This window comes from Homo sapiens, chromosome X, assembly GCF_000001405.40.
Source record: "Homo sapiens chromosome X, GRCh38.p14 Primary Assembly".
Lineage (NCBI taxonomy): Eukaryota > Metazoa > Chordata > Mammalia > Primates > Hominidae > Homo > Homo sapiens.
Window position 1 is genome coordinate 109,588,528 of NC_000023.11, and position 12,703 is coordinate 109,601,230.

The window sequence follows — 12,703 nt, forward strand, 5'->3', positions numbered from 1 at the left end:
TTCAGGATACTAGTTACCTCTGGGTTTAGGGAAAGAGTAGGATGGGATAGGCATCGAATTATTAATAGTGTTTGAAATGGTTTGGCTGTGTTCCCACCCAAATCTCATCTTGAATTGTACTCCTGTACTTCCCACATGTTGTGGAAGGGACCCAGTGGGAGATAATTTAGACCATGGGGGCAGTTTCTCCCATACTGTTCTCATAGTAGTGAATAAGTCTCATGAGATTTGATGGTTTTATCAGGGGGTTCTGCTTTTGCATCTTCCTCAATTTACCTTGCCACAGCCATTGAAGAAGTGCCTTTTGCCTCCCGCCATGATTCTGAGGCCTCCCCAGACATGTGGAACTGTAAGTCCAATTATACCTCTTTCTATTCCCAGTCTCAGGTATGTCCTTATCAACAGCGTGAAAACGGACTAATACAGTGTTCTATTTCATGAATGGCATTGTGAATTCATTGATACTCATTATATTATTACACAATTTAATACATATATGTGTTACACAGTTTTACATATCAAGTAATATATTTAAAGAGATAAAAATTAAAAGTGTGACGAATAAAGTAATTCATATTTCAATATGTATATAGGTGGTTATGATTACACTAAAGAAATATTGAAGTATTGAGTTATTTATGCCCTTATGTCAAAGAAAACATGAATGTAGCAGCCACAGATGCAGACTGATAAAGATTTGTGGTATTGTCAACTCAAATAAGATGACTAATCAGTGTTGTGTTTTTCCAAAATGGTAAATAATTCTTGGCAAAATTGCAAACAAAACACAACACGATTTTCTCTCATTTTACATGGTAGTTATATTATTGGAAAATTCAGTATATATTGAAACCTCTTAAAAGCTACTTCGTGTTTGTGTTTAACACAGAGTTAGGTTCTGGACTCAGATAATTATAATCAGGTTTCACACCCTGCAAGGTGCAGGTGGAAAACTCCCAGCTTTTCTGTGACTTGGGCTCTTATTTGAATGAGCTCATAAGAGAAGCTTCCAGATCTGACCACTGAAGATTATGTGAAAAGAGAGGGGGAGAAAGAAAGAGTTTTGGTTTGGGAAGACAAAGTGGGCAGGGGCCAGAGGCAGAAGAATGTAGAAAGAAGAAAGAAGTCTAAATGCCAGGCCCCCTAAACTGGGAAAATTAGTCAAGAAAACGTCCTGTGAATCTCAGTTCAATGTTGTACAACTACTCCATGAGAGGCCTACTTATCAGGACCACTGTAAGATCCAAGGGGACCTTGGGACACCTAATGGGGTGGAGGGGAAGAATCTGTACCTGTGCTTGTAGTGGTGGAGAATTGGACCCCGAATATAACAGTACTCCAATCTGGGTCAGTGGGAAATTGACCTCACAGTCACATAACTTTATTAAACATGTGGGAATGTTGCACCCTGAGCAAAAGGGGCAGTGAAGTTAGCATGTGCCTTTTCTGGCAATGCCCACAAATGTCACCAGGAAGGACTCCACAAGCTTGATTCCCCCTTTATAGATATTTGCACAGGATCGGCAGCTGTCCACTGACCTCGGCTTAGGAGTTGGGAGCAGGGCAAAGAAGGAAACAGGCTTAACAGATATGCAACTGAGCCAAAGGAAAAAGTAGCCCAGAATAACCTAGGAAGACAAAAAAAGCACTTGATACACAGGTACGGTGCCAGGAGTCAAGGACCGGAGATTGGGTCCAATTGCGGAAACTGGGCATCCTACATCTGCCTAAGATAGCTGAGCCTTGGAAGGGCATGCTGTATGTAGTAGAAAACAACAAGGATCACTATCAACATATAAAGTCCAGCCTCAGGGCAGCCAGGAATAGGGTGGAAGCAGCTGTCAAGGTGATATATTGTAGCAATCATCTGCCCATCAGGCAGCTGGAGGAGAGAGGTCAGGTGAGTGCTGCTTAGAACAAGAAACAAGTTCTAAGCTATGTAAAAAAGGAGAAATACGAATGTCTCTTGCAAACCAGACTGGAGGGTGTCCAGAAGGAAATTAATCCTGTAGAATTCACAGTCTAGAGTGGAAGGCTTCTTCCTCACCCACTGTAGTTACTTCAATCTCACCACTCAAAAGAATCAAAAGACAATGGGTTTATATGTTGTTTGGAGGGGCAAGTTGCTGAGTAATGCATAGGATATAATCTAATTTAAGTATTTTATCTACCGTAAGGGAAACAAGCACAATCACACATACACATTGGTAAGGGTATAGAGAAAGGTGTGAAAGGATACACACTAAACTGTTAACATTGGTTACTTAGGAGGTGGAATTAGATATGAGGGTAAAGAAGTCTATAGTTTTCTTTAGACCTCTATATCACTTGAGTTGTTCAACTACCATGTGAACATTCCTAAAAAGTTAAATCTGATAGAAAGATTGAGCTCACCCCTCCCCTCTGCATATTCAGCAGAAATTGGGCAGGAGAGGGAAATCTTTGACATTCAGCAGACACCGGAAGCAGCAGAGACATGGCAGAGACATGGGGCATGATCACCTCTTTTTTTTTCCTGTTTTTTTTTTTTTGGAGTTCAGCAGACTTCAGAAGGCTTTATTTCTGTTGGGAGGGGTAAGGCACACATTCCCAGAAAAGAGGAGGCAGGGACATGGGAGAAGGAAAGGGTAAAAAGGAAAGGACTTAAGGAAGATAAAGGACCAAATCAGGGAAGGATGGCCAACCTCTGGAGGCTTGGGGAGCTTTTATATGTGATGCCCCCAAGAACCAAGGCACTGAGACCTCGTGCCTTTGTAAGGGAATGAGGTAGCTCAGCTAAGGCTACAATGCCTGCCCTCATTCTCAACTTGGTGTGGCTTTGGACCAATCACCTGATCTCTGAAAAATGCTTAAGGGTTTGTTAGGGTCCAAGGTATATGGTATACTTTAGAGAAGGCAAATGTGGCAGCAGAACAGGGAGCAAGAGAAGGAAATAGCTGCCTTGCTCTCTCCATGGACATTGACAGCACCCTCATTATAGACTATGGGGTAGCAAGAATTGCCTACCTGCAAACAACTGTGGGCGTCAGGGTTACAACGATTATCTACTCATGGATGGCAATCCAGCTGGAGAGACAGTAAGGTCCATTTCCCCTGCTCCCCCCATCAGTGGTAGCTAGAGATTCACCTCGAGTCAAAAATAGAAGGCACAACATCTACATGTAGCTGTATATGTAGGATCTGAAACAGGCCAGATCCCTAAGTGCCTTCTGCATCACCAAGGACAGAATTATCTGTTTTGCTATGGTTCCATTGTTGTTTTAACTTAGTTTTTAAAAATTATTAATGTCATGTATCAGCTCAGTAATTATCCCCAAGTGAAGGGTATTTGAAATCATCTGAAGGTGGGGGAAGTACTTTGGAAAACCAGATATACTGGTCCCTAGCCCTAGGTGAGTATCCCTGTTTTGGTGAACAATTGCTATGAATAGAAGTGTATCATAGCACTCAGATATGTTGGGATAGAAATGAACAACAACAAAAAAGTGAGAACAACTCTTTTAGGCCAGTAGTTCTCAAGAGAGTGATTCCTAGAGAAGCAGCTTTGGCATCATCTGGAAATTTGGTAGAAATGCAAATTATTGGGTACCACCCCAGATCTTATTGAATTCTAAACTCTGAGGGTGGAGCCTGACAATCTGTTTTAACAAATTATCCAGAGGATTCTGACACACACTCAAGTTTGAAAATCACTCGTCTAGCCAAATCCAAAGCCTTTAAAATTATCACCCTCCTTGGCAGACCACCAACCCCACCCCATTATAGTTGAACTCTTTAACCACCTCCTTTTTTTGATTAAATGTCTCATCCCTGAATTTCTCTAATTTCTCTTGTCTTTTATTTCTCTTTCAGTGTCACCTTTGCCTCTTCCTTTTTGCAAAATATGAATGCTTGCCCAGTGCTCAATAAGCTGCTCCTGCAACCCTCCTTCTCCATTCTTCTCCTTTCATCTACTCTCATGGTTTAAATGGCCATTTGTATGTTGATGCAGCTTGACATCTAAAGCCAAAACAGCAGCCTTCTATGACCATATACCCGTAGGCTAAAATCAAATAGTGTTTTCCACCAAGTGAATGTCTAGTCATTGCTTCAAATTCAACTTACCTAACCTTCCCAACTCTGCATTGTAGACTCTCCAAACTAAGAAAACAAAAAAACTCATGTTTAACTTTGATGATTCCTTCTCTCTTTTCACCTAGCCCACCCAAACATCCTATTGAATGTTCCTTCACAATGTCTCCTGGATGTGTCACTTTCTGTTCCTTTCCAATAACCAAGTCTAAATTCTCCACATCTCACACCCGAACCTCCTAAATGATCTTCAAGGTCATTTCCAGTCTCCCTTCCTTTGATGCCTTCCAAACTGCTAAATATCTGTTCACAAAAACATTGTATACATCATATCACCTTCCTGCTCAAAAATCCATTGATAACTTCCTATCATTCACTCTTTCAAATCTAAATTACTCAGCCTGACATTCAAGACCCAGAAAAACCTGGCCTTTTTCTTCCCATCCCCCATTCCTCACTTAGTGAGCATGTCCACATACCACATTATAGCAGGTACCTAAAAGTTAGCAATGACTGTGGCAAGCAATCTCCCTGGCCTATTCCTGGATTCTCTTAATCTGCTGCTGCTCGCTCATCCTCCTGGACCTCCAATCCCTGATTCTTGCTCTTGATATCTTCTTTTAACCTCTTAGTTTTGATGAATTGGTCCAAATCTCCTTTCTGATTGATTGGACTCAACTCTTTACTTAACCCTTGATTCTGAATACCGCTCTGACTTCAACATTGCCCTACGGTTTAGGGAAAAACATTTGTTCCACCAGCATTAATCCTGAAGAACCTTTCCAGCCATACATCTCATCCTCTATCTCCCACTCTTTCCCCATTAGAGGAGCTTCTTGGACATTGCCTCTATATTAAACCTTCCATTCCAATAAAGCTAACTCCTTACTGAGAGCATTCCCCCACACATACACACATCACTCTTATCCCCATGGTGAGCTCTTTGCTCTTTCTGTTCCTCTCATATCCTGTCCATTGTTAAAGACCCATCACATTAAACCTGTTGGAATTTTCCCACACTCATGGAGTAGACTGGCTTGTGTACTAGCTGGCAGACCAAAGTCTGAGGCTGGGTTACAAGGAGGCCCAAATGCAAGTATTATTCTCCAGGTTTCCCATATCAGGAAGAGAAACAGAAAGGGTGGGACAAAAAGAGAGAGGAAGGAGAAGGAGGAGAAGAAGGAGGAGCAGGAAACAGAAGAGGAAGTAGTCCAGTTCAAGTCCAGGTCTTTGAGAGAAAGAACAGAGTCAAGAACTAGTGAGACAAGGTACAAACATCCAGTTCCAAGGACTAGAGCGGGGTCACAAACAAGATGTTGATTTTTAAATTGGATTGTTATATATTGGAAGTAATAGCATGTCAGAAAACATGAAGGAATATCTTGGAGCCAGGGGAGTGGTGGAATATTTGCCAGAAACAATGTTGGATATTCATGGCTCATTTTATAGGATGGTAGGAGAATGAGTGTGACATGATGGCTTAAAGTTTCAATGTTGATACAGATACCAATTCCTCCTCCTTCCTGCCTTTCAGGGTATGGCATAGAACTTCTTTTTTTTTCTGCCTACATTTTCTCCCTCTGTAGGCTCTTTTGTACCTTTAGTCTGCATTAAATAATCAAAATCCTTTTTTATTATGTCCCTTCCTCTAAATATCACTCCAATTTTGTCTTCAGATTTTTAATAACCCAGTTGGATTTTATTAAAAATTTAGTGACAAACATAGTGATATATGGTAGATTTCATTAGAAGACATTAAAAAGAGTTTCTGGAAATTAAAATAAAATATGATTGCCAATTTAAAACTTCAGTAGAGACATAGTCACATAGTCACTGCTGAAAACAAAATTAGTTTTTCTGGCCGGGTGCGGTGGCTCACACCTGTAATCCCAGCACTTTGGGAGGCCAAGGCAGGTGGATCACCTGAGGTCGGGAGTTTGAGACCAGCCTGACTAACATGGAGAAACCCCATCTCTACTAAAAATACAAAATTAGCCAGGTGTGGTGGCGCATGCCTGTAATCCCAGCTACTCGGGAGGCTGAGGCAGGAGAATCACTTGAACCCAGGAGGCGGAGGTTGCAGTGAGCTGAGATCGCACCAATGCACTCCGGCCTGAGCAACAAGAGCGAAACTCCATCTCAAAAAAAAAAAAAAAAAAAAAAAGTTAGTTTTTCAGAGGATGAATTGGAGAGGAAAACATTAACTTAAAGAAAATAGAGAGAATTAGTAAAGATAAAAGCTAAAATTAAAGAAATAGAAACTACCACCACCACATAGCCCCACATCCTGCCTCCTACCACAGACACACAAAGGAGAATGGATAATTAAAACCAAAATCAACAGATCTATAAAAGAGACCACCCTCCTTCAGAGGCCTAATTTTTAAAAAGAGCAAAGATGAAAATATACACTATTAGGAATAAGAAATGAGGTTTAACCACTTAATAGATTGAAATAATGATAAAACAAAAATTATATGCAACTTGGTCAACAAGTCTGAAAATCTAAAGGAAATGAATGAATTTCTAGCAAGACATAGAATATCACAATTAACTCAAGAAGTGGTAGAAAATCTAAACAGACCAATAAATATAGGGAAAAATAGGATATTTCTGAGTTTCATTTAACCTTCAAAAAAATATCTTTCACATTTCTCAAACTGTCTCAGATTTGGTTAAAACTTCCAAATTTATTCTACACATACCTTTTTAAAATGTGATGGAAGAATGCAATAAAGAAAAACCTGTAGACTACTTTTACTTATAAATATAGATGAAAAATGCTTTTATTTTATTTTTTTATTTTACTTTAAGTTCTGGGATACATGTGCAGAACATGCAGGTTTGTTACATAGGTATACATGTGCCATGGTGGTTTGCTGCACCTATCAACCCGTCATCTAGATTTTAAGCCCCACATACATTAGGTATTTGTCCTAATGCTCTCCCCTCCCTTGTCCCCCACCCCCCAACAGGCCCCAGTTTGTGATGTTCCCCTCCCTGTGTCCATGTGTTCTCATTGTTCAACTCCCACTTATGAATGAGAATATGTGGTATTTGGTTTTCTGTTCTTGTGTTAGTTTTCTGAGAATGGTGGCTTTGAGCTTCATCCATGCCCCTGTAAAGGACACAAACTCATTCTTTTTTATGGCTGCACAGTACTCCATGGTGTATATGTGCCACATTTTCTTTATCCTGTCTATCATTGATGGGCATTTGCATTGGTTCCAAGTCTTTGCTATTGTGAATAGTGCTGCAATAAACATACATTGGCATGTGTCTTTATAGTAGAATGATTTATAATCCTTTGAGTATATACCCAGTAATGGGATTGCTGAGTCAAATGGTATTTCTGGACCTAGATCCTTGAGGAATCGCCACACTGTCTCCCACAATGGTAGAACTAATTTACACTCCCACCAACAATGTAAAAACGGTCCTATTTCTCCACAGCCTTGCACCAAACGGTGATTATTAAAAAGCAAAGTGTTTTAATATAATATTAGCAAATAGATTCCAGCATAGAAGTAAGAAAAGTAATTCATTCTGATTAAGCAGGGTTTATATTTGAAGAATGCAAATATGGCTAAGTTACGCAACCTATCTATATGATTCATTACATCCACATATTAAAGGCAATAAGTGCTATACAATTGTATCAACAGGTAATGAAGAAGTATTTGACATAACTCATCAGGCATGGCTAATAAAGTCTTTAAAGAAAACAAACATGGAAGGAAAACACCTCAATCTGATAGACTGTTTGCCAAAATCCAGTGAATACTATGAGATACTGTGAGTAAAAAAAGGTAACATCAATCCTGGGCTGCAGCAGGCCTGTCTGAGAATGACCTCAGTCTCCAGAAGAAATAAGATAAATGAACCTGAATGACATTATGCTAAATAGAATAAACCAGGTACAGAAAGACAAACATTGCGTGATCTCTCTCTTTCTCCCTCTCTCTCTCTCTCTCTCTCACACACACACACACACACACACACACACATATAAATATATGTGCAGGATGGGAAAGGAGACATGCTGGTCAAAGGTTATAAAATTTCTATTATACAAGAGGAATCCATTTTAGTGGTCTATTGCACAGCATGATAACCATATTTAATAATAACACATATTTCAAAATTGCTAAAAGAGTAGATTTTAAACATTCTCACCACCAAAAAAGTAGGTAAGGTGATGGATATGTTAGTTAGCTTAATTTAATCTTCCTACACATATATCAAAATAACACTTTGTGGCCAGGTGTGGTGGCTCACACCTGTAATCCCAGCACTTTGGGAGGCCAAGGCAGGTGGATCACTTGAACTCAGGAGTTCGAGACCAGCCTGGCCAACATGGTGAAACCCCGTCTCTGCTAAAATACAAAAATTAGCTGGGCGTGGTGGTGCATGCCTGTAATTCCAGCTACTCAGGAGGATGAGGCAGGAGAATCGCTTGAACCTGGGAGGTAGAGGTTGCAGTGCACTCCAGGCTGGGCGACAGAGCAAGACTCTGTCTCAAAAAAAAAAAAAATCACATTGGCCGGGTGCTGTGGCTCACGCCTGTAATCCTAGCACTTTGGGAGGCTGAGGCAGGTGGATCACAAGGTCAAGAGTTCGAGACCAGCCTGACTATCATGGTGAAACCCCGTCTCTATTAAAAATACAAAAATTAGCCAGGCGTGGTGGTGCACGTCTGTAATCCCCCCTACTCAGGAGGCTGAGGCAGGAGAATTGCTTGAACCCGGGAGTCCGAGGTTGAAGTGAGCTGAGATCTCACCACTGCACTCCAGCCTGGGCGAATGAGCAAGACTCCATCTCAAAAAAAAAAAAAATCACATTGTACCCCATGTGATGGTTAATACTGAGTGTCAACTTGATTGGATTGAAAGATGCAAAGTATTGATCCTGGGTGTGTCTGTGGGGGTGTTGTCAAAGGAGATTAACATTTGAGTCAGTGGGCTGGGAAAGGCTGACCCACCCTTAATCTGGTGGGTAGAATCTAATCAGCTGCCAGCGAATATAAAGCAGGCAGAAAAACGTGAAATAGCGAGACTGGCCTAGCCTCCCAGCCCACGTCTTTCTCCCGTGCTGGATACTTCTTGCCCTCAAACATTGGACTCCAAGCTCTTCAGTTTTGAGACTCGGACTGGGTCTCCTCGCTCCTCAAGCTTGTGAATAGCCTATTGTGGGACCTTGTGATCATAAAAGTTAATACTTAATAAACCTCTCTCAGAGAGTCAGAGAGAGATCCTATTAGTTCTGTCCTTCTAGGGAACCCTGACTAATACACCCCATAATATAAATACAATTACTATTTGTCAATTATAATTTAAAAAATAAATTTAAGCATACAATTAAATAAAATTAAATACAGTTAAATAAAAGGTAAATGGAAAACTTGTGTCTGTCTTGGTGGTTGAATGCAACTCCCTCTGGGTTGGGCTATCTGTAAGCAGCCTTGTAGGCCGCAGCCTTGCTAGCTAGAATGAATATGGTCAAATAGATACTGTGTTTCATTGAGAAATAATGTACTTCATCTAGGTAACTGGGATCAAAATTTTAGATCATTACTTTGTGCCACACATAACATAAATTCCAGTGGGATTAGAAATTTAAGTTTTCACACGAAAATTTTAGAAGAAAATAAAGAGAATATTTTTATAACCTCAGAATGGGTATGGCCCATAAATGGGTGAAGCAAGATAGGAAACCTAGAATCCATAAAGAAGATTGACCAACTTGAGAACATAAAATTTTAAAACTTTCTGCAACTCAAAAGACTCTGTAAAAACTTCACTGAGAAAATATCTGCAAATCAAGTGAAAGAAAACAGATTAATAGCCATATAATATAAAGAGCTCCTAAATTTTTTTATGAAAAAACCAACAACCTAAAAATTATGGCAAAGGTCATGAACAGGAAAATCACAGAAGTGGACATACAGATACCAACAAGCATATGATAAGTTTCAACTTCATAGGCGGTCAAGGATATAAAATATTGTAAATGATGGGATAGCATTTTTATTACCCTTCAGATTGGCATCATTTTAAAATATTCATAATGTTCTGTGCTGGCCAGAATATGGGGAACACCAACTACCTTACATCTACCTCTAGTAGAAGAGTAAGTTGCCACAACCATTTTGGAAGGTAATCTGGTAGTAACTATGAAAAATTTTAAATGGGTAGACCTTTGATCTGGCAATACCTCTTCTAGAAATTCTTCCTAGTATATTATTCTCACAAGTCAGTATTGATTTATGCCTGGGGATGTTCACTGCCATAGGTATTAGCGCACACACACACAAAGGAAAACAATCAGAAGGTCTATCAGAAAGGTAATGGTTAAGTTAGCAGGCAGCCATACACTCAAATACTAAAATGGAGCACAAGTTGATAGCTCTCTGTTGGCCAGGAGAGTTCTCCATGATGTATTGCTGTTTTCAAAAAAGATGCAGAGTATTTTTCATAATATGATGGTATCTTTATTTTAAAATAGTTGGAGAAAGGAACCACATATATCTGTGTGCATATATAACTGCATTTAGTAGAATTCAGAAAAGAATCTGCCCACATTCACATATAATTTCAGATCCCCCTGAATTTCTACTGAATGCAGTTCATGAAAAGTTTCTGTATAACAAACTACAAGGGAACAATTATTTGGTAAATGTGTATTTGTCTATCAAATCAAAATACTTCACTTCTGTTAAAAGGGTGTGATATTATGGCTATCCTCGTATATTTATTAAAGGAACATGTAATAAACCACACTGGTAAGTGTTCGAATGACAGAAAACAATTTTGGTAAAGTATTCAAGTTTGAAGAAAGCCTATATCAAAATTTAAACTAATGTTGTGTGTTTGTGTGTGTGTGTGTGTGTGTGTGTGTGTGTATGTATGTATACTGCCGAAAGACAAAATTACAATAAATTTTATTTTAAAATGTAATTGGTTTTTTTTGTGATTCTAGAAAACAAAGTGAAGGTTTCCATGAACTGAGCAGAGAAGGTTGACTTTATAGGCAGAAAAGGGCTGAAGAAAGAAACAGTGAACAAAAAGTGATGGGTCATTTCAAAATTACTTTCCTTGTAAAGGTTAAAAGAGAGAGGACTTTCTTATCACACTGGCTAAAACTGGCCTGTTTGGGAATTTGGCTATTATCTCTGCCTTTCTTGGTTTGTCAGAAAGTCAGACAAATAACTTAGTTTCGACTTGGTGGCATGAAACTTCTGCATGAGTAACTCCATTTTGGTTTGGTCTGTTGGACCCAGCACAAGGGCTCATTCTAAACCAATGGCCTCCTATAAATTTTAACAGGGTTCTTCAGAAAAATTTGAAAGGACCCACATCAAACTGTTAACACTGATTATACCCCAGATGTTGTATAGGAAGGGAAAACTTTTTTTTTCCAAATACATCTTTGTATATAATTTAAAACGAGCAAGTCGTTTAAAAACTCACTTAGCAAAAAGAAATTCAGGGCAGAAAGAGAACGCAAGAAAGACTGCAAGCAGCAAGACAGATAGGTGAAAGAGAGTGAGAAGAGAAGAGAAAAGAGAAGAGAAGACAAGCAAGACAAAAGACAAGACAAGAAAGAAAAAAACTGCAATCTGTGGTTGAGGAGAATGGGACCTAAGCAGCGCGGAGAGGCAGGCGCGGGAAGTCAGCCGCAGCCACAAGCCTTGGAGCTGCTAATCCCCGTGCGTCTGTGGCCAGCTGCCTGCAGCAGCCTGGACTGGCGGGCGCCCCAGTTATGTGGGAAGAAGCAGAACTTCACAGTCATTGAAACCGTACCTAAGGGAAACAGAGTGGAGCTCTGAATATATATCGATGGGAGCGACTGTTGCAGAAAGCAGACCAGAAAAAAAGGCAGACGAAGCCTGCAAAGCCAGGCTGTGGGAAGTCTGTCCACCCACAGGGTCAGCTCGCTGGTGACGCTCCAGTGAAAGGCTCTGGCTGCGCCACCCACCCCTTGAGCCCTTAAGCTCAAATGCAGCAAGTACCTCTTGTTTCAAGAGGATGAGAATCTGGAGGGGGAGGGTGAGGAAGCGCAGATGATCACGGAGGACAGGAGCTGGACAGAAAAACAAGACAGTTGTTCTCATTCCCCCTCTCACTGCGCCCTGCCCCTTAAAGGGGAGTCAGTGGAAAGCTCCTTTCTCTGCTAGCCTTAAGGATGGGCAGGCCCGAGGGCTAGGAATGGGGAGGAACGTTATTGGCAAGAGAGGGAGACCTGACTCTGAGACGGAAGAGTGTGGAGCTGGAAATATCAAGCCCCCTCGTCCTGCCAATCCTGACAGACCATGTTGAGGCCTTTCACGCAATGGAAGAATTTGAGCACGGCGGGCTCTGGATTGAAATCCCAGCTCTACCACTTGCTAATTGTGACCTTGGACAACCAACCTGACCTCTTTGGGTATCTTATTTGTAAAATGAGGGAACAATAATAGTATTACCCTTCCCATGGGGTACTGAGAGATTAAAGATGATAATGCATATGAAATATAGCACCCGGGAAAACGTAATTGCCAAATAAATCCTAGTTATTATTAGAACATTAATTAATGTGTCATTTGTGTGCACAGCCCGAGACCAGGTGCTGAGCTTTAATAGCCACAGAGGCT